This window comes from Homo sapiens, chromosome 8, assembly GCF_000001405.40.
Source record: "Homo sapiens chromosome 8, GRCh38.p14 Primary Assembly".
NCBI classification, from domain to species: Eukaryota; Metazoa; Chordata; class Mammalia; order Primates; family Hominidae; genus Homo; species Homo sapiens.
The window spans coordinates 66,040,222-66,062,836 of NC_000008.11; the positions used below are offsets into that span (position 1 = coordinate 66,040,222).

Consider the following 22,615-nt stretch of genomic DNA (forward strand, 5'->3'; position numbering starts at 1 on the left):
TCTATTAAAATACAAAAAATTAGCCAGGAGTGGTGACACGTGCCTGTAGTCCCAGCTACTTGGGAGGCTGAGGCAGGGGAATCACCTGAACTCAGGAGGCGGAGGTTGCAGTGAGCCAAGATCGTGCCACTGCACTCCAGCTTGGCAACAGAGTGAGACTCCATTTAAAAAAAAAAAAAGTGACTTGCCCAGTGTTTAAGAAATAAGAATGTTTTTGGATACTCATTCTTGAGTTAAACTGAATTTTATTTTATGTTTTTTCACAAGGATGCCATTATCTTCAGTAAATGTTTTCTTGGGAAACTCAGGCAGTGGGAAATTCCTCTAGAGAGTTGCTGGTCGGCAGGTGTTTTCCACATTACTTGACTGGAGAGCTGTCGGCAGTCAGATCTCTCTGACATGGGGTAAACAGCGGCTCTCGATCCAGGCAGCTCTTTAGAACCGCCCCATGAGCCTTAAAAAGTGCATAAGCCCAGCCCCACTGAGCCAGATTTTTGCTTTGGGATAGTCTGGGTGGGCCCTGGGCGTCAGAATTCTTAAAATCTTTCCAAGTGTTTCTAGAGAGAGTTATAAATAGTTCTCTCTGCTTAGCCTTCGATAATTCTATGTTTTATACATGTTTATAGATTTCAGCACACATTAAAATTCTCTCCCCTTTGTAACTTCTCTTTAAAAGGGACTTTTTTTTTAACTTTGTAAAATGATAAAACATAATAGGAATTAACCAGTTTGTTCTTCTGAAGAAACATATAAGCACTTGATTTTACAGAAGAATTGCCAGAATTGTTCAGTAGCTACATCTTAGATAGAGTGGTAGTGACGGCTTTTTCATTTTATACAATCAAAGCAACCACCTGTTTTTTCCCTTTCCCAAGTAAGTTAACACAATGAATCTTGATCAGATGATTTATCTCTTTGAAATTTACAAGTGATGGCTTGAGTTTCATATATTGCATACTAATAACATAAATGATGTAGAGAGGTACTAAAAATAATAATATTAGTAACAATAATGCCTTTGTTCATCATGTCCTTGCACATCACATGTTCGAAACAAGTGGTGTTTGAGCCTGCTGAGATATGAAATTTAAAAGAAAGACTATGTAACCCTAATGCTTATGTGTTAGATAGCTTGGGTTGAATATTCAAATAATTGATCTGGTACCTGCTGCAGATTCTGTGGTAGTGCACCAGTCATTTCTTAAAATAGCCCTAACCATATGTGGCAATTGAAAGAGGTGTATAAGGGGTCCCTAGGAGCCCCTAAGGGAATGGTGAAGACCTCACAAATAGAGAAAACAAGGGAAATTAGCAAGTAAAACCCTCCTCCCAATCATGGTTCTATCTTAAGTTTCCTGCCTCAGAGACAGGACTTTTTGGTTCAATCTTGGAAGATATACTAAGTTCTTTTTTTCAAAACATAAATGATCCACTTGGCAATGCTTTTACAATACATTTAGTGCATTTTGAATCAAGGAATTGTTTAATGTGCTTACCATGAGTTATTTCCTTTTACAAATATCATTTGAAACTCACCATTTCTAGAAAGCCTCACCTGGTTACGTGGAATATGATCCCATTGATCTCTGGCTGTATCTTTTGATATCAGAAGCCATATGCTTATAGGCATGTAATGACGTCCTATGTATGACAGCACACATCAGAATGTCCCTTTAATTTCTCCGACTTAAGCACGTAGGACCTTTGAACATGCTCTTCCACCTGCTTGGAATATATCTGCTACTACCAGCAACTCCTTTATCTAGTTCTTTTCAGATCTCTGCCCAGTTGTTTTTGTTCAGGGAAGCTTTCTCTAATCTTCCTCTGTTCACTGATTTTACGTTCTTGCAGCATCTCTCCAAAGTCTCACTTTTCCACTTTTTTGAGTGACCATTTGATTGCTCACTGCCTGTCTTGGAAGGCTGTAACTCTTTGACTCACACACCCAGGGTCTGTGTTGACTTTTGTTTATCAGTATATTTCTAGAAGTTAGTCCAGTGTTTGAATTCAATAGGTGACTAATTGTTGAATGAATACTGCACTTTCTCTTTGAAACTCAGCTACAGTTTCACTTTGCTGAAGAGTTCTGCACTACTTAACTTTTTGAAACTAATGTTCTATGTAATACTTTAAAGATTAATGGTTAAGGAGAGTGATTCATTGTGCAAAAAGAATGACTTTTACTAAAAGTATTTCTTATTAGACTAAATTTGAAACATAAACTAAAACATACATTTTTAAAAAGCTACCCATAAGCTCACCATATTTACATAGCAACTATTTTTATTTCATCAAAGGACACTGTCCTTAAGCTGAAGTCATGCTGGAACTTGGGTATTTCATTCTAAATTTGTTTGTGTTTCTTCTTCTTCTTCCTCTTCTTCTTCTTCTTCTTCTTCTTCTCCTTCTCCTTCTCCTTCTCCTCCTTCTTCTTCTTCCTCCTACTCCTCCTTCTCCCTCTTCCCTCCTCTCTCCCCCTCCCCCTCCCCCCTCCCCCTCCTCGCACCCCTCTTCTTCGTCTTCTTCTTCCTCTTCTGTGATGATGGGCAGCTTCATAAACTCTGGCTGGAAATCCGAAGGTATCTAAAAAACTCTCAACTAGAGGTGAGAGTGCTCTGAATCATTCACACAAAATTGCCTGAAGCTGGGCTACCTGTCTTGGTAAACAGCACACTTAAACTACTCCTTCAGCCTCCAGGACCCCACTGTGCCAAATTCAGGAATAACACCTGTCTCATGTAAAACTTTTTTAGTCTGTAGGATCTTACTCTAAATCATAGGAATTGTTGTCTCACGAGACTTTTTAATGTCTGTGAGAGTATGGACATTAGCAAGAGATGCCTTAACTCTTAAAACCACCTCAGTCAGTACTGTGACTCAATGCCTCTTAACTAGGCGAGGGTTAAATATGCAGATTTGAAAATATTGGGTTAATAAATAGTGAGCAGTTAAAGTTTCCCCCTTATTAGTGTTGCATGTTCTTTCCAGTAATTTTAAATCAACTGATCAGTAGTAGCCTTAGATCAAAAAGGAAATGAAGTTTGAAGGAACCCACTTCACATGTAAGGAGATGAGCTTATTTCCTTAATGGAGAGTCCCGGTGGAGACGCTGGAGGCAGTTCCTCAGTGGTGTTTGGTTGAACCAAGCACCAGTCAACAAAGGATCAAAAGTGGGCTGCAGCATATATTTTGGTATCAGTGGATGCCTTGTAATTGCAAGCTTTACGGTCATGCATGTTTCATTCTCTCTTTGTTGTGTTTTCCAGAGGGATAACCAATTGGCTGGCAAAGTAACAAATGAAAAGTAACCTGACTCTATTGACCTGCTTAACCCTGCATGGGGGGGAAGGATGGAAAGGAGCAGCTGTTTGCTTTGAAACGGTGGAACAGGTATGGAACAGCAGCTTTTGCTGTTGCCTTCTTTTATTTCTTTGCACATCTATTTCCAGACCAGTTGAAAACAGCAAGTTGTTCCTGTTTGCGGACACAGAATCGGGGTTCCGGGTTCCAGGAACAGGTACTGTGGTTTACTAGTAACATTCTGACTTGCCCCATCTTCAGGTTGCCATTTATATAAGGATTAGTGCAATGAAAAGAACCTTTTTTTTTTTTTTTTTTCCTTTGAGATGGGGTCTCACTCTGTCACCCAGGCTGGAGTACAGTGGCGCCATCTCGGATCACTGCAACCTCTGCCTCCCAGGTTCAAGTGATTCTCCTGCCTCAGCCTCCTGAGTTGCTGGGATTACAGGCACCCGCTACCACAGCTAATTTTTGTACTTTTAGTAGAGACAGGGTTTCACCATGTTGGCCAGGCTGGTCTGGAACTCCTGACCTCAGGTGATCTACCCGCATTGGCCTCCCAAAGAGCTAGGATTACAGGTGCGAGCCCGGCCAAGAGCATTGTTTTCAAATAGCAAATAAGTAATCCTGCTAGGGAGAATTATTACTTTTAAACATAGGATTTGCATTTTGGAAGTTCATTTAGCTTTAAGATACATTATTTGGGCTTATGGGAATTTTGCTCCACTAAACAAATTTCTATGAAGGAATCATAGAAGTAATGACAAAGCAGCAAAACTTGTTGATTTCCCCAGTGAATGCCATGGAAAGTGTGTTTGCTGTGTTTAATGATCTAATCTCCTCTGCCCACATTCATTTTCTCAGTTGTGAAGGGACCCTGCCAAGAAAGGCATAGTTTGACTTTTTCTATTTTTTCAAACTTCACATAATAGATATAGGTGAAGCTTCTTTTGCTTCGAAATGAAGATTTCATTTCAACACGAAAGATTTAGAACCACACCCGTAGGACCCCTGGAATTAGAATCTTTAAAATTTTTGTTAACTTTGAGTCAGTGCCTATTGTCATTGGGGGGTTGTACCTTCTTTCAGTTACATCCATTATCAAGAGGCACCTGAGCAGTACCTGGTTTGGTAGTCACTCTATAGAGGTCAATGGTTTTTGTAATATTAATGGCTTTGTCGTGCAGCTAGAAAGTAATTTTAAGTTCAGAAGATTAAGTATCATGTACTAGATGTTCAAAATTAAATCACTTAATGACTTTTCTCGACAAGATTTTTCTCCCCATTGGATGCCTGATAGATGAGGGACTATGAATAAATAATAAAGACTTGAAATTTGCATAGGAATATTATAATTCAAAAGGTTACAGAAAAAAGAGTTTTAAAAGTTGTATTTTATATAAGGAATTTTAAAAGGTTATGGGCCCACTATTTAAGGTTATTTAAGGAAGAGATTTTATGTTATTATGTTCTCAGGACATAACATCTTTACAGTCATTAAAGGTTTCAATGTATTACTCTATTGAATCTGAAACTAAATATCATAGAAATCAATAATATATGAAGAATCTGGTTTCTAGCTTAACAAGGAGGCAGAAAAAGTAGTGTGTTGTTGCTGCTTGAGGCACAAAGCAGCTTTCTGGTCTTTTGGTTCCTTCATGTTTCAGTGTGTAGAGTCAGCCAACTACTTCCCACATTGACCAACTATCTTTTGCTTGCATTTTAACATGATGCAAATGGACTTTTTAAAAAAGTTTCTTCATTAAAAGATGTTGTCTGTCTGAAAGGAAATATTTGGGAATAGGGCAAAAGAAGATGAAACAGACAATAAACACTCTATACTACCCATTCTGAATATTGATCAATGCATATTATCAAACAAGTTGGCTACTGGAATTTCATTTAGTGGGAATAGATTATAATGTGATTCAATTTTTAAATGAAGTGATGATTGGAAAAAACATTATAAACCAAAGAATTAGCTAGCTACTGTGTCTTCCCGGGTGTGAGTTTTTATCTATGAAACTCTTCGAGAAATGGAATCTGCCTTTTTTTTTCATACTAGAAAAGGGAGGGTAGAGAAGCAAAGGCCTGGGGCAGAGAAAGACAGGCTCCAGGCTGTTTCCAGGACTGTTCTCTGGAAGGGGCTGGGAGCAGCCCCTGCCTGAGCCCATTTCTCTTTTTCCACACCTGGGATAATTTTGAAGGAGGGAGCCTTGGAGAAAACCATCCTCAAAGGGCACCAGAGGGCTCTGCAGGCTCCCCAGGGCTGCTTTCCTCACACAGGAAAAGATACTGGACAGGATTCAGGCACCCTCAACTCCAGAAACCTCGGAGTCTTCCTTTGTGAAAAGCATGAATGCTAACGTTAGGCTGCTTTGCTCACAGACATTGGTGTACCCAGTAAAAGTGCTGCCCAACGCCAAACCTAACATGCCCCCATCCTGTCACCACCCAGTCAGCAGGGAAAATAAGAACCAGGAGTTTGGGAATGGAGAGGTGGTAGGAGCATGTTTAACAAGACTAGAAACGCTCAGGGCTATGGCTCATGTGGTTCCTGTAGCCCTGAGCCACAGGGCTTCCTGGAAATCCTCAGGAGGTTTTGACCCAGAGACCAGGAATCTTCTTTCCTGTGTGGCTTACAAACTGGGCTCCCTGCAGAAGTTCTGAAATTCTTGCATAACCCACACATTCCTCTACTTCCAGGTAACTCTACTTTCCTAACTAACCCCTTCAGGAGCTCCCTCTTAGTCCACGTGCAGGCTCAGTGGCTGCGCAGAGGGAAAACACTTGCCACCATAGCCCTTAGATCCCACTGCGCCTTCCTGTGGCCCCTCACCGTGGACAGAGCTGCAGGGCCCCTCACGTCCTGCAGCTGGACACAGTGCAAGGCTGCTTCAGTTCAGTGTCACCACTATTCAGAGTTCTTGTGAGGATTAGATGAGATACTAGTTGGGGGAAATTGTAAATTGTAAAGTATCTTAGAAATGTCAAGTGTTATTCAATATGACACTCCAGTAAGAACATGGGCTTTAGAACCAGATAGCTCTAAATTCAAAACTTGCCTGTGTGAACCTGGGCAAGTTGCTTTACTTCAGGGAGACTCACTTCTCTCATCCATAAAATGAGATTGCAAAGGAGAGAGGTATATGCCCGCTGCCCCTCGGGGGCTACAGGCTGCTTGTCTTCTAAAGACTTCATATGACAGTATTCATCACCATATCATGAACTTACCGTGGTCAAAACAGTGAAAGGCTGTCCAGTTCTCAGCCTTGGAAGCTCAACCAGCTGAGATGGCGGCAGCCAGAGAGCAGGGCCTTGCTGAAGGCCACACTCCCTGCAGCCACGTTCTCCGGATGGTGCACAAACTTTGGATGTCCATTATTTTATGAAGGGAAATAGCTATCCTTGGATGAAGACCACTTGTGTCAACATGACCCATTCATGCCCTCCTTGTGGGTGGATCTCAGGGCAAGACAAATCATCAACAGATTCCAATTTATTCATTTACCAGGAGATAGAATTGTCCCTGAGACCAGTGAAAAGAACTGAATCCATGTGACCAGTGCATTCTCTTCCTTGAGGAAGACTTATGTAGGACGCCAGATAATAACCAAAAGGAGACTTGACAGCATGGAGTTAGATTAGTCGAATTTTAACAATGAGGGCCAAAATTGCTGGATGGGCTTCTCTCAAGAGCAACCGTTTGGCCAATGGGGCCTGAGTCCTTTTCCTCCTTCCTTGCAATAGTGCTTGGATGGCCCAGCCAGCATTGGCCTCCGCATTTGTTTTTCTCTGCCTGCCCATGTCTGCTCATCCTCCTGAATAACCGACACAAGAAGAACCTGACACTGTCAGTTACGATTATGCAGTTAATCAGGTTCTATCAGGTCTTGCAGGCCCAGGAGCCATTTATCTCTTTAAGATGATTTTATAAGATAGCTTCTTCCTGATCCAGCATGCACTGATCTCCCATTTTAACTCTCAGAAAACCGTTTTATTTATCTTACTCCTAAGCTTTTGGGGGTCCCTCTCTGATGTCCCTAAGTACCGATAACAGGATTAAATGACACCATATACGAAAGTTGTCATTCTGGTGCATAGGAGGGGCTCAGTAAAGCCTAATTCCCTGTTCTCCTTCCCTTTCATGCAATATGACAGCTCTTAAGACTTTTATGGAACATAGCCCTGTGCTATGTCAGTTGTATTTCAAAGATTAATATAAAATAGGATTCCAGCCCCTGAGGAGCTCAGAGTATGGTGGTGCAGGGACATTTAAGTGAATAATGTTTTGTTGAGCATAAAAACCCTGTTGTTGCCAGGCCCACTGGCTGTGGGAGTAAATGTAGCCTTCCTGGTATTCATGTATTCATTTTGCTATGCTGCTAGACCTCACCTGTACAAATACAGGGCCCCGCCTCCTGCAGAATCCTCCCAAAGATGTGCCAGTGCTCAGGGAGAGTTGCAGAGAAGAGCTTTAGTGTCCACCCTTTATCACCATTATCTCCATTAGCATTAGTCCACACCATGCCCATTTTAAAATTTGAATCAAGGATGTTTTCTTAACTCCAGCTAAAGTATATGCAAAGCAACCTGAAGGCCCCCCACTAGCCACCACCCAGCTGCTCACCCTCACTCTTCCTGCCCCTTGCTGGTACCCTTTCCTACACTGTGATTCTGGAGCTTCCAAACACCCCACATATTTCTGAGTATCCCTAGAGGGTATTGCAAATGTTTTCTGAAATGACTCTGGGCCTTCTGCCACCAGCCCTTCTCCTATCAGGCCTGGGGTTGGGGGAAAGGGCAGGCAGCAGTGTCAGCTTTCTGCCATGTTCTCTGTCGCTACTTTCTTCGTAGGAAAATGTTGGCCCAGCCTGGCCTGGGTGCTGCCTCTCCCTATGAAACGGTTTCAAAGTTGCAGATCTTTGTTCCCTTTAGTCTTTACAGAGGGCTTATGCAAACATCTCTTCAGTCTCTAAGTTCTCCCCCAGAGGAACTCAAAAACACATTATTGGGTAGGGCAGGGGACCAGTGGGCATCATCTGGTCTAAACTCCCCTCATCTTCTCTCTGAGCTAGATCCCAATCAAAATTTCCTCCCTCGTCTTTCAGTCCCCAAACCCAGAAGTCCTAATTCATGTTGATATATGCAAATAGATGACCAAGAAAGTCACTGGCCACCAAGACCATACAGATCTGAGGTTAGACTTAGATAGAAGGGCAATAATAGAAAAATATGAACCAAGTTCTACTGCAGAAGCAAGTGGTAGTGTTGCTTTCGGTTCAGGCTTCACCTTTTCTGCGAGGCCATCCCCTCCCACTCTCACTCAAGTTAAGCACTTGCTCTTGAATCACCCAGCGGACATTTGCCAATACCTAATATGTGCCAAGCACAAAGCGAGGCCTCTAATGGCATGGTTCCCAAGCAGAATCCTGTCCTCTATGAGATCCCTCGTCTGTTTGATCTCTATACTTGGTACTTCTCTGACCCTGAACACTAGTTTCATTTTGGCTTATACATTTGGATCCCATATTAGTCTGCAACCTCTCTGAAGACCTAGCCCACACTTTAGGCTTCTGAATAAATACTGTCATCTGAATAACAACATTTTGGTCAATGTCAGACTACATATACAATGGTAATCCCAGAAGATTGTAATGGAGTTGAAGAATTACTATTGCCTAGTGACATCATAGTTGTCATAATGTAGTGTGACACATGATTCATGTCTGTGACAATGCTGGTGTAAACAAACCTACTGCATTGCCTGTTATATAAAAGTGTACAATGACCTAGGACTTCATATTCACTCATTGCTTACTCACTGATTCAGAACAACTTCCAGTCCTTTGAGCTCCATTTGTGGCAAGTGCTCCATATAGGTGTACCAATTTTTATCTTTCACACTACATTTTTACGGTACCTTTTCTGTGTTTAGGTGTTAAAAAGTCGCCTACAATACTCAGTACAGTAACACACTGTACAGGTTTGTAGTCTAGGAGCAATAGGCTATACCATATAGCCTTGGTGTGTAGTAGGCTCTATTATCTAGGTTTGTGTAAATACACTCTGTGATGTTCACACAATGATAAAATCCCCTAAAGATGCATTTCTCGGAACATAGCCTCATCGTTAAGTGGTGCGTAACTGTAACTGAATTGTCGGCTGTGGGTGTTATCATAATCCGTGTAGTAGATTATCTTCAGTAACCTGTATATCTCTTTCCTGGATTAGTGACAGCAAGATCCAAGTAGGAAGCAATCAAAGTGAGTGAGTCATAGAGCACGATGCTCACAAGCATGAAAATTATGCTCCTCTGTGCCTTGTTAAAATTGATTTTACAACTATCTGTTGATTTATGGGAGTCATGACATCTCTTTTATTTTATGACATAGATGATGAAGAGGAAATACATTTTTCCCTCAAATTGAAACTATCAAAATGGTTTCTTTTGGATGTTGCATATAGAGAAAAATCGATAAAGCAGACATAACTCTTCTTATCTGTACTAGAAATGTCAACACAATACATTTGAATCTGTTGGGTTTGAATATCTTAGTTTATCACTATTATTTTCCCAAAGTATTCTTTCCCAAGTACCCAGAAGCCACATTCAACTTAAAGGCAGAGTAGGTGCAGTGATTTAAGAAACATCCACAATAGTTAGTCTGGCTTGACCATGCTCAGGGAGCTGCCACTGGTGTTTAATTGAGAGAGTATAATAGCACTTAGGAGTCCTGGGTGACAGTGACCAAAACCTAGCTGAAACACACAAGAAAAAATATGCATGTACATTTGTACATGGAGAGGAATTTTATTGGCTCAACCCAAGGAAGGGTTGATAGACAAGCTGTTGTAAGGTAAGAGTTGCAGGTGGACCCAAGAACAACCGGAGCCAGGAACTGAACCCCACTGAGGCTCTCACTCTCTTTCACCCTCTCTTAATTCAGGCCAGCCAACAATACCCAAATGTTCAATTGTATAGGTTTCACCATCTGATAGATAGTTCTATATTTTTAAAATCCTAGGGAAGGATTCTAATTGGTCTGGCTTGGGTCAGGTACTTCTTCCTGGTGGACTAACTGAGATCAGGTAAGGCCGAGGCAGGTCTCAGGAAAAGCACAAGATGCAGTGGGGACCTATGCACTCCCCAGAAAAAGAAAAGCTAAACGGCTAATAGGAAAATTATCTACGACTATGATCTCTGGCCAGAACTCCCCAAAAGGCATTTGTTAAGATGGCCTAGATGGCCTCTAACTCTATATTCTTCAGTCCTAGGATTTGAATTATTATGTTGATTTGTTCATTTATTTGACAAATAAAAATTGTGTATATTTATGGTGTACAGTGTGATGTTTTGACTTATGTGTACATACATGGTGGAATGGTTAAGGTAAGCTAATTAGCATACACAGTAGCTCATTTCTCATTTTGTTGTGTGGTGAGAACACTTAAAATCTACTCCCTAGCGATTTTCACATACATATATAATATATTGTTATTGACTATTGTCACCAAGTTGTACAACAGATTTCTTGAACTTATTCCTCCTATTTAACTGAAATTTAGTATAATTTGGACAACATCCCCCAGCCACTGCTTGTCCCATATCCACCACTTCCATTGCTGGCTAAATTTGGAAAATATATGAAAAAGAAGTTAAGCAAATTCCAGAAAAAAATGAAAGACCAAAAAGCTCTACATTTGCCTGGCCTTTGAGGATTGATTCTCAACAATTCTGAATTCACTGGGTGTTTAGATGACATTTTGCTTCTATTTAACCGTGTGGAGAAAGCCCTGTTCCATTTGCATGGCTGCCTGTATTCTTTAACACCCTGATTCAGAGCTCTGCTTTTGGCTCTCCTAACCCTTTTCTCCCCTCTTTTTGTAGTTGGTACACAAATATTCTTCAAATTGTCATTTTACAAAAGGTCAAAAATGAGCTGTCTTCCCCTTTAGAGAGTGGGAAGTAGTGTGCATAACCTTCATGGCTATTTTCTCCCCTTTAGTTTTGCAGCCTTAGAAAATGGCATGTAACATACCTAACCAAAGACAGCGGACTCTGTCAACAACAGGAGAAGCTCTATACGAAATTCTTGGTCTGCATAAGGGAGCATCAAATGAAGAAATTAAGAAAACCTACAGGTACGGATTTCAATGGTGACATTTCTTCTGCTACTAGTGAGTTATTTTGTGACTGGCAGATTCCTCCATTAAAGACATAAGCTTCTCACTAAGACCAGTAATCCAAATTTTAGATCCAATGTTCCCTGCTCTACAACATAGGAGTTAGGAATGGAAAGGCATGACAGTGATTTTATGAAAGAACTCACTGATGATGCTGGGCCTTAGGAAAGGGCAGCCTGTGTCTTAGACCTGCAGTGAAAGAGAGAGAGAAAGACAGAGAGAGAAATGAGTGAACCAACCACAACCAATTGCTGTCATTTTTTTTTTTCTTTCTTTGACAGAGTCTCACTCTGTCGTCCAGGCTGGAGTGCAGTGGTGCAATCTTGGCTCACTGCAACCTCCGCCTCCCAGATTCAAGCGATTCTCTGCCTCAGCCTCCTGAGTAGCTGGGATTACAGACACCCAGCTAATTTTTTTTTTTTTTTTTTTAGTAGAGATGGGGTTTCACCATGTTGGCCAGGCTGGTCTCGAACTCCTGACCTCAGGCAATCTGCCCACCTCGGCCTCCCAAAGTGCTGGGATTACAGGCATGAGCAACCGCGCCCTGCCAATCGCTGTCATTTAACCCATCTGATATAGCATCACTGAGTCAGAGGAATTCTTTTTTAATAAAAGGAGTTTGGTGGAATGCTGTATTTGTAAGCTATACTTCTCAAGCCCTTAATTTTGATCTTTTGTGGTCTAGTTCCAAGTTAGCTATTTTTGGAAAACTTTGAAATGTCTTTTTATTTTAAGTCCAAGGAATAAAAAAATGTTGAGGGAGAAATGCCATTACTACAACCCAAACATATGAGAGAAGCTGTCTGAAAATTAAAGTCAAAGGGGCAAATCCCCAACTCAAAGCACAAAAAAAATCATCTTCTTCTACACCGAAGTCTAGAAAGGCCTGTCAGTGACAGAAGAAGCACTGGTTTGGGGCTTCCTACTCCAGGAGACTTTCTGCACTGGTGCTATAGTATGTCAGTCCTCTAAGAATTCCATGATGATTTTAATGAATTTCTGAAAACTCTGTTATTTGTCCCACCTATAAGGCATGTAGCCTATCTGATACTTGTCTTGACAATATTTTGGGACCTCTTAGGGCATTTTGAGGTATTTAACTGTCTCTTGGCTAGTTGGAGGAAGAAAGATGTGTGGACCTTAACCACCTTCTGGACAGGAGAGCTGCTTTCAGAGAGAGAAAATCTTTCCAAGAGAGTGCTTGTTTGTTTGCTTGTTTGTTTAGAGTTAGGGCCTCACTTCTGTCACCCAGGCTGGAGTGCAGTGGTCTGATCATAGCTCACTGCAGCCTTGAACTCCTGGGCTGAAGCAGTCCTCCTGCTTCAGCCTCCTGAGTAGCTAGGACTTCAGGCTAGCTACTCAGGCTATCAGGACCACCATGCCTAACTAATTTTTTAAAATTACTTTTTTAAAAAGATGGGATCTTGCTTTGTTTTCCAGGCTGGTCTTGAACCCCTGATTCAAGTAATCCTCCCACCTTGGCCACCCAAAGTGCCAGGAGAGCTTTGACAGTTTCACATTGAAGTCTAAATTTGCTAAGACTCAGGCTCTTTCTTACATATAGTTTTAAGTAGATGAAACAACCAGAAACTTTTGACTTGTGATACTCTACCAGGAAGGACATGGTGATAACAGAAATAGTGGAATAATTTGTGCTTGTAAACATTTAAGATTCACCTGTGGGTTTTGGTGACTGATGATTAAACTGTTTTCCAACTTGCAAAAAAAAATGTTGAGTACAAAATTAATTTGCTTACTGTAGAAATTTTGCAAATTACCAAAAATGAAGGCAATAACATTTATCCATAATCCTACCTCCAGTAATAATTATCATTAATATTCTGTTTCCTTCTAGTCTTTTTTTTTCTATCTAGAAAAGACATTTAAAAATCAGGTTGTATTAGTCTATATTCTTCAACTACCTTTTTTTTTTTTTTTGAGATAGAGTTTCACTCTTGTTGCCCAGACTGGAGTGCAATGGCGCGATCTCGGCTCACCGCAACCTCCGCCTCCCAGGTTCAAGCAATTCTCCTGCTTCGGTCTCCCGAGTAGCTGGGATTACAGGTGCCTGTCACCATGCCCGGCTAATTTTGTATTTTTAGTAGAGACGGGGTTTCTCCATGTTGGTCAGGCTGGTCTCTAACTCCCGACCTTAGGTGATCCTTCCGCCTCAGCCTCCCAAAGTGCTGGGATTACAGGCGTGAGCCACCGTGCCTGGCCTACTACCCTTTTTTTTTTTTTTTTAACAAGGTCTTATCATGAAAATATCTTGATGTTATTAAATAGCCTGATTTTTAATGGCTGTGGCCTACGGTTATTTTGTAATTTATTTAGTCACATTGCAAGCTGTTATTGAACATGTAAGTTCTTTTACTTATTCCTTATACTTAATATACATATATTATAACACATATTTTCAATTACTTATTTTCTTATGCGGTATAAAGCTATGCCTTTACAGGAAAAAAATAATCAAAATATAAATAAATTTTCAGATTTTAATCAGTTACTTCTTGATTTAGTCTTGAATTAGGTTTTATAAACCTAAGTGCTTTTTCTTACTGTACAGAAGTTTAAAATTAGGCAAATTTGTTAGTCATTTATGACTTTTGTTTTACTATTATGGTTAAAAGACCTCTCGCAATTACAACACTATAAAAATATTCACCGTATCTTCTTCTAGCACATTTATGATTTTGCTTTGACACTAAATCTTGATCCAATTGGAGTTTATTTTGGCATAAGGAATGAGGTAGAATTCCAGATCTGATTTTTTCCCAAATCCTTAGCCCACTAATACTTATTGAGTCTCTATTTTTATCTATTAATGGGAAATTCTTTGGGTTAGGGTTGGAACCTTCACCATGTGGCAAATTGTAGGAACTGAAATGCCTTTAAGAAGCATGTTTTGAAGAAAAAATGGCAATGGTGTGAACTGCAATTTGGAACCAAATAGTTACATGAAAATGGTAGAGTCTGATAAAACTCAATATCAATCTTCTAGTTTATATTTCCCTTAAGGTGCTAGGGAGAGAAAAGTCTTTGCTGTTTCATTTTGCCCTAGACCTATCCAGAGGCGCGTGCCTGGGAGCTGCCCACACCTGTTGGTGGACGTCCTTGGCTGAAGATCACTGAATTTGACTGAAGGCTTCAGGCTGGGACACTGTGCTGGGGTAGGGGAGGTGGGAGGGAATGCCATAATTGCATTGTCAGTTAATTTTTGTAATATCTACAAAAATGCTCCCCAAAATGGGGAGGGAAAAAAGTGACATCCAACTTCCTTGTAATTTTTAAAATCCACTTTACTTTACAAATGTGACTCTTAATTGTCTTTATTAATTTTGTAAGCCAAAATTTCAGGTCATATGTTAATTAAGGCATTAATTATGCTGAGTTGTTTGCAAGTTTAATAATTACAACATAAAGTCTATTCATGTAATTAGTGTCTTGCTATTAATTTTGTTTTAATGTCATACAAATATTATTTTTTCAGGTGATTAGGGTACTAGTATGCTGCCAAAAGCATCTACTTCTCCCTAAATTACACATTTGTATTCTGCAAGTTATTCAAAATGTATGAGTAAGCTGGAAATCCACTGAGAATATTATTCTTATATTGTAGGATCTGGATCAAAGCAGTCACAATATAGTGAATTAAAAGTCAGTGAAATTTAATAAAATTACCAGCTGTTGAATCTATACACCACTTGGCCACTGTTATAATATTTGGCTGTGCTCTTGAAAACAAGGCTGAGTTAGAAGACTTCTTTCTTCTTTTGCATTTTATTTTTAAAAAGATAATCTTTCATTTGATTAAAAGGAAAACAGGTATATAAAAAAGTCTTTCTCTTACCTCATATCACCCAAGTCACTTTCCCAGGGGAAACAATATTATCAATTCTTTGTATACCCTTCTAGAGAGATCTTATGTCTAAATAAGCATATATAGACCAGGCACGGTGGCTCACACCTGTAATCCCAGCACTTTGGGAGGTCAAGGCGGGTGGATGGATCACTTGAGGTCAGGAGTTTGAGACCAGCCTGGCAAACATGGGAAACCCCATCTCTACTAAAAATATAAAAATTAGCTGGGCGTGGTGACGCATGCCTGTAATCCCAGCTGCTCGGGAGGCTGAGGCACGAGAATCGCTTGAACCTGGGAGGCAGAGGTTGCAGTGAGCCGAGAGCCGAGATCATGCTGCTGTACTGCAGCCTGGGTGACAGAGTGAGACTGTGTCTTGGAATAAATAAATAAATAAGCATATATTCAGAACTTCCAGTCTAAGAAAGATGATGTAGACTTTTCTCTCCCTGCTAAGCACAACTAAAAACCTTGGAAATAACACAAGAGACAACCAAAAGAGAACTCTGAAAGGTAGAAAGAGAAAGGTTAACTGGTCAGAAATCCCAGGTCACAGCAGCAGGGCATTTTATAATCCCCTCCACCCCAACCCAACAAAAGATAACCCAGGCCCAGCTTTTCCCAATACCCAATCTAGCAGAAGAAGGCATCCAGGTAGTCTCATTCTTCCTCCAGATTGAACAGAAGTCCTGCCAACAACATTAGACAAGCCCCACAGAAACAGCAAGGGGCACCAATTGAAAGCTCCCCATCAACATCTTGCTGGGAAATGCTGTCTTTTCCCACCACCAGTCTGGGACTCCTCTCTCTCACCTAGAGACCCCACTTGACAGAGGAAATTAGTAGGGGGATTCCACCACAAGCACCCAGCCCAGGAATGCTTTTGTCCCCACAGGCTGGAAAATCCCTTCACCTAAAGGCACCTGGCTCCTCAGCTACTACCAACAAGGAGTGTTGGGAGCCTCAGAAGCGGGAGACAAACCAAACAAACCAAAGAAGCACCGTAAAGACTCTGAAAAGTAGATTGTTATTGGAACCACTCACAAAAGTAGGCTAGAACCTGCATGCTAAACCTAAAGGGGGCTGCCTGCTAAAATAAAACAACTTAAATAGAACCCATTATCTCCCAACATGATAACCAAAATATCCAGATACAAACAAAATGACCCATCCTACAAAGAAGCAAGAAAATCACAACTTGAATAAGAAAAGACAATCAGCTAACTCCTGTGCTGAGATGAACCAGATGTTGGAACTATCTGAAAAGCATTTTAAAGTAACCATCATAGGCCGGGTGCGGTGGCTCTCGCCTGTAATCCCAGCACTTTGGGAGGCCGAGGCTGGCGGATCACGAGGTCAGGAGATTGAGACCATCCTGGCTAACACAGTGAAAGCCCATCTCTACTAAAAATACAAAAATTAGCCGGGCTTAGTGGCAGGCGCCTATAGTCCCAGCTACTCGGGAGGCTGAGGCAGGAGAAGGGCGTGAACCTGGGAGGCGGAGCTTGCAGTGAGCCGAGATCGCGCCACTGCACTCCAGCCTGGGCGACAGAGCAAGACTGTCTCAAAAAATAAATAAATAAATAAAGTAACCATCATAAAAAATTCAACAAGTAACGACAAATTCTCTTGAAGCAAGTAAAAAAAAATGGAAATTCTCAGTGAAGAAATAGGAATTAACAAAAAAGAACCAAATGGAAACTATAGAACCAAAAAATAACACAAATAATAAAACTAACTGGATGAGCTTAATAGTACAGTGGAGATGACAGAGAATAGAAATTGAGGACAGATCAATAGAATGTTCCCGATCTGAACAACCGATAAACAATAAACTGAAAACAGAGTCTCAGAAACCTGTGGGACAATAACAAAGATCCAACATTTATAGCATTGACATCCTAGAAGGAGAAGAGTGAAACAATGGGACTAAAAGAGTACTAAAAGAAGTAATGGCTGGAAATTCCCCACATTTGGCAAAAAATAGAAACCTACAGATTCAAGAGGCTGAGAGAACTCCGACAGGATAAACCCAAAGCAATCAATGCCAAGAAACATTATAATTAAATTTCTGAAAACTACAGACAAAGAAAAAAATTTGAAAGCAGCCAGGGAGAAACAATGCATGGCCAAACACCCATTTGAATGGCAGCATATTTCTCATCTAAAGCAACAGCAGCCTGAAGGAAGTGACAAAAGATTTTTCAACTGATGAAAGAGAAGAACTGTCAACAGAAAATTCTGTATCTGGTGAAACTATATTTCACGAGTGAATGGGGAAATACGTTCTCACATAAAGGGAATCTAAAAGAATTGTCACTAGCAGATCTCTTCTTAAAGAATGGCTAAAGGAAGTTCTTCGAAAGAAAGGAAATGATAAAGAAAGGATCTTAGACGATCAGGAAGAAGGAAAGAACAAGGGAGAAAGCAGAAATATGGGTAAATACAAAAGACTATCCTTTTCCTCGTGAGTGGTGTGTGTCCTCCCACCCTCGATGGTGGTGTGTTCTCGCTCCTAGCCTGTACTTTGTATTCCCTTAACAGTATATCTTAAAGATAATTCCAAGGAAAGATCAGTTCATGAAAGGTTTTCTCATTCTTTTCTTATTACCATGTAGTATTCCACGACATGGATGTCCCATGACTTAAATAGTTTCCTATTGATAGATATTCAGGTAGTTTCCCATCAAGTCTGTCTTTTTTTCTTTAAAGGCTGTCTTTTTAAAACCAACTTTTTGCTTCTCGGAGAGGGAAACCCTGTAGTCCAGAAAGGTAGATAGAGGTGGGGAAAGGGAAACAATCTTGGTTCCTGATCCCTTTTCCATATTTGCATGTCCTGATCCCAAACTCCTGGAGCAAAGATCTCATGGACCCAGCCAGATCAGATGCCCATTCATGTCTAACTAGCTCTGATTCAGGGAATCACAACTTCCCACTACCACTTAGCAAGGAGGTGTGATCCAACTTTTACTGGACGGGAAAGGGACAGTGTTCTCTAAAAAAGGGGACAAAGTTGGGAAAGAAATTTTCAGTATCTCCAGTTCTTCATTCTTTTACAGAATTAACCATAAAGCAGCCTCAAAGACCTATCTCAGTCCCTCCTGTGTCAATTTGTAGATCTTTATCATAGAGTCTTCCTGTGCATAAAGCACCTTTTTCCTCTTTCATCTGAAATTCAACCATACTTCATTAGTCAGCTGATAAAATGGAGTCCCCAGCTACCTCAAATGACAGCTGGGAAAGGTGACAAGAGGAAGGCTTTTACTGTGCCAATCCATCAGGTATTGAAGCTCTTGCCTTATTGACATTTTGTGAAGAGAAATGAGATCTTTTTTTTTCAAGGGATGCCAAGCTCTTTGTGGCAAAGCACAGTGAAAATATCAGGTACTACTGTGGATGAAAAAATATCCAAGTCTAAAATTATCCTGCCCTTTGGTGCTGCTGTTTAAAAACCATTTATCTAGCATAAGATGAATTTGTGATCCAAGTCAAAAGTGACATATCACAGGGTGAAACTCATGGTATGGTCTCATCCAGGGCCTTCATTATGGAATAAATCTGCCTTTAGTATTGCAGAGCATAATCATCCCAAAGGGGTTGAAGTCTAAGGCTCATTTAATCCAATTTTATCATTGCTAGATCATGTCACTTAATCTGACCAGTGTTTGCATGAGATAAGCAAATATTTTACCTGCTTCTCCCACTGCCTAAAATTCTTAAGTCTCCCCTTATCATGCTGTCTGAAGGAGACTTATTTGAGTTAATCTTTTAAATTCAGATAGGCCTAGAAGAAGTCATCCATCATTCATACATTTGCCTGAACTTTAAACTGGTGTGTCTTGCCTTTCCACCTAATTTAGATATCGCTCCAAGAGCCAACAGGAATTTTGAGTTAGAAAGCTAGTGTAGGAGTTGAGGAGGAGGGAGAGTCACTAGTGGACAGTGGGATGATTGAACAATTGGGGAGATGGGAGACTGCTGAAATAAGAAACTCAAAGCTTTTTCTCTACATAACCTCAATACTCAGGTTCAAGACCCTTTAAAGTGACTTGAGAACTTGGGTTCACTGAAGAGTCTCTGCCGTCCTTCTTCTAGGGGTCTCCTCTGCGGAAGTCTCCCAGGGCGTGGGAGGCAGTTCATCTCCATGTAGTGGCATTGTCCACCAAGCCATGTTGCCACCCTGTAGCTGATGCTGCTTTGCCATTTGCTGTGTGGGCATGTCCACAGTCACTGCTAGACATAACCTTGGGTGCTAGACTCTGCTGCTGCAGCTCCCCTGCCACTCAGCTGCATCACCCTGCCAGGCACGGTAGGCACAGAAGGTGCTCCTTGCCAACCTCTCAGTCCCCAAGTCCCGACCGCTCCTTCAGGCCCAGAAGCCTCTTCTGCTGTTTACCTTGAGAGCCGAGGGAACACCAAAGCCTGCTGGGCTGTACCTCTGGCAGGATTGAGGCTGGGCATAGTGGATGGCTCCTTTCCTCCTCTTTGTGATATGCTCTGTTAGAGCCCCCTATGAGTTCAAAGCATGGTAGAAAAGCTCCTTCCAGTTTTCCTTGTAGCTCTGTTTTTCTCTAGGACCCAGACACATGCTCAGGGGGTGAGCCAGACACTAGCAGTAATGTCGCTCTGCTTAGACTCTAGATCTCATCCAACAGACCCCCCTCCTCTTGTGTCAAGGTCATCACACCTGGCTCTTTCCTAAGATGCATTCTTTTCCAGAAGATTCTACAGTTCCCTCCCCAGACTAAGAGAGGTTTGTGTCAGGCTGTACCACTGGTTCTTTAGACGTACCCAGCTGGGGCTGTCACAGCCGTGGCTTGTATTCCTTTCTGGAAGCCTCTTCAGCTCTCTGGGACTTCTGGGAGGCCACTGCTACCAGCTTTCCAAACACATCCTGATGTGCCCTAACCCCGTGCAGTGAACAATGGGCGACAATGACTCAAAGAGCAGCCCTACCGTATTCCTGCAGCAAGTCCACCTGATTCTGTGTTGAACTGGGTAAATAAAGTGTATTATTTTACTGTTTGTTGCTCAGCAAGAACTGTGGGTGTGTGATTAGGTTTCCTCTTTTCTTGTTGGCACATAAAGGACCTTCACTCCAAAGTCATTAGATTGTTGATCCATACTGCTACCTAATGATAGCAGAAGCCAAGAAGGCTGATCAGAGCACGTAGCAACCACCAGTATGTCTAGAGTCTCTGACACTATCAATGGCTTTATACCAGCAAGTCTGGTTCATTATTCAACGAATATGTATTGAGCACCGCCTCTGTGTTGGCCACTGTCCTAGGTAAAATAGCAGTGAACAAAACAGACCTGCTTCCTTAAACCTGTTTTAAATAGGGCCAGGGGAAGGGGGAGGCTTAATAATGAACACATAAGTAAGACACACAACATATCAGATGTTGCTAAATGCTAGGAAGAAAAGCAGAAGAGGGTAGGGAGTGTTAGGTAGGAGTATGCTGGAAGTTTTACATTCTCTTTGAGATGTTCACATAAACACTAAAATCACTCCATTGAAGTGTATTCTAAATATAATGTAGCAGTTAAGAGCACAGGGTATTTCTGAGTGTGGTGGTGCTTGCCTATAGTCCTAGCTACTCAGGAGGCTAAGGTGGGAGGGTCTCTTGAGCCCAGGAGTTTGAGGCTGTAGTATGCTATGACTGAGCCTGTGAATAGCCACCGCACTCCAGCCTGGGCAACACAGAAAGATCCCATATCTAAAAATGAGTGCAAGGTATTCGGAAAGACCTGAATTCAACTCACTTTTCTCAGCCTCATTCTCTTCATAAGTAAAGTGCAGATAATGATCCAATCTCAGAGGGTTGTGGAGGATTACATGAGATGATGCATGCAAAATGCTTAGCCAGGGTTTGGCACATGGGTACTGGGTGCTACAAAGGATATACAAGGGCCTGAGAACCAACCATACATAATGGCAGTTTCCAAACTCAGCTAGGGCACGGGTGCAGGGTGACGTGCCAAGAAGTGTTGAGTATGTGAATGAGAAAGAATGGATAGAGAGAGAGAGAGAGAGAGAGTGTGTGTGTGTGTGTGTGTGTGTGCGCGTGTATAAGGGGTACTTAGATTATGTGACATTTAGATTCCATTGAATACATTTAAAAGAATGTTACAACTGTTTTATTTTAACATGCTGATGTTTATAATATGCTGAAAATTACATTCTTTGCATCTGTTTAATCTTATAAAAATTTTTAGATGCCAAGTTAAAAATGTTGAAGGGACACAGTTTCTCAATATTATTTTAAGAGGTGTCTAAGCAAAAAGAATTGAACTGGGGGTGGGGAGGACAGAAGAAACCCAAACATCCCACCGAGAGTGATGACAAGGAGGCATTCAGGTGGCTTCGGGGAGTGGCAGCCTGTGGGGGCGCAGCCGAGCCCCTTCCTGAGGGCTTTCCTTTGCTTCCTGGCCCACTGCGCTGTTCCAGCAGAGCACTGCAGCCTCACAGACAGTAGTTCCCTTGCTGCTTTTCTGCCTCTCCCATTCCATCAGTTCCTTGAGGGCAGACACTGTGCCTGGTCTCTCACTGTACTTTCAGCCCTAGCACCATGCTAGTATTTGCTGAATGCAAAAAAGAATTAGAAAATAGAAAATGTCTGGAAAATGTCTGTTTTCTCCTCGATTATAGTCTCAGCTTCTTCAGGACCATTTCTCAAATAATTAGTTTGGTCACTTTGCTGAACAGGGAGTTATTCACTGACCCAATAAACAGAGGAGGGGCAGATCAGAAAGGAAAGATACTAGCTTCCATCTGGGATCCAGAGCATTTTGTATGATTCTGGGACCTTCAAGTGAAAAGTAGTTAGGGGATAAGAAAAGGAAAACTAAAAAAACAGCCAGATATGCAATTTAGAGAATGTGTCTTCAGAGTTTAAAATCTCATTTGTAACATAAACATTGGTTTTTATTTACACCAATACATACATTTTTGAAGTGAGCTGGAAACAAGATTAAGATGCCCCAAAGTGAGGCTGACTGGTTTCTCTAGCATGTTGGGTGCAAGAGCCTAACAAAATGCTGGGTAAGAAATCATGCAAAGATCTAGCTCTTCCTTGGCTTTTTAGAGAGCCACAAAATTGGAGTGAGGCTGGCTGTGGTGGCTGTTGCCTGTAATCCCAGTAATTTAGGAGGCTGAAGTGGGAGGATCAATTGAGCCCAGGAGTTTGAGGCTGCAGTGAGCTATAATCATGCCACTGCACACCAGCCTGGGTGACAGAGCGAGATCCTGTCTCTAAACAAAAC

General features: G+C 41.4%; 1 protein-coding gene across 4 annotated transcripts in view; it reads left to right on the forward strand.

Annotated features, from left to right (window-relative positions):
- The window catches only part of DNAJC5B (DnaJ heat shock protein family (Hsp40) member C5 beta), an 86,268-nt gene that overhangs the window by 25,244 nt on the left and 38,409 nt on the right, over nucleotides 1-22,615 (forward strand). For 3 of the 4 annotated variants that reach the window (NM_001349432.2, NM_033105.6, XM_011517620.3), the window contains exons 2-3: nucleotides 3,267-3,390; nucleotides 11,310-11,445. In NM_001349432.2, coding sequence (NP_001336361.1) covers nucleotides 11,327-11,445 — 119 coding nt within the window. In that variant the 5' untranslated portion in view covers nucleotides 3,267-3,390; nucleotides 11,310-11,326. Of the gene's footprint in view, nucleotides 1-3,266; nucleotides 3,391-11,309; nucleotides 11,446-16,244; nucleotides 17,789-22,615 lie in introns of all 4 variants that reach the window. The other variant, NR_146171.2, reaches the window with a different exon arrangement.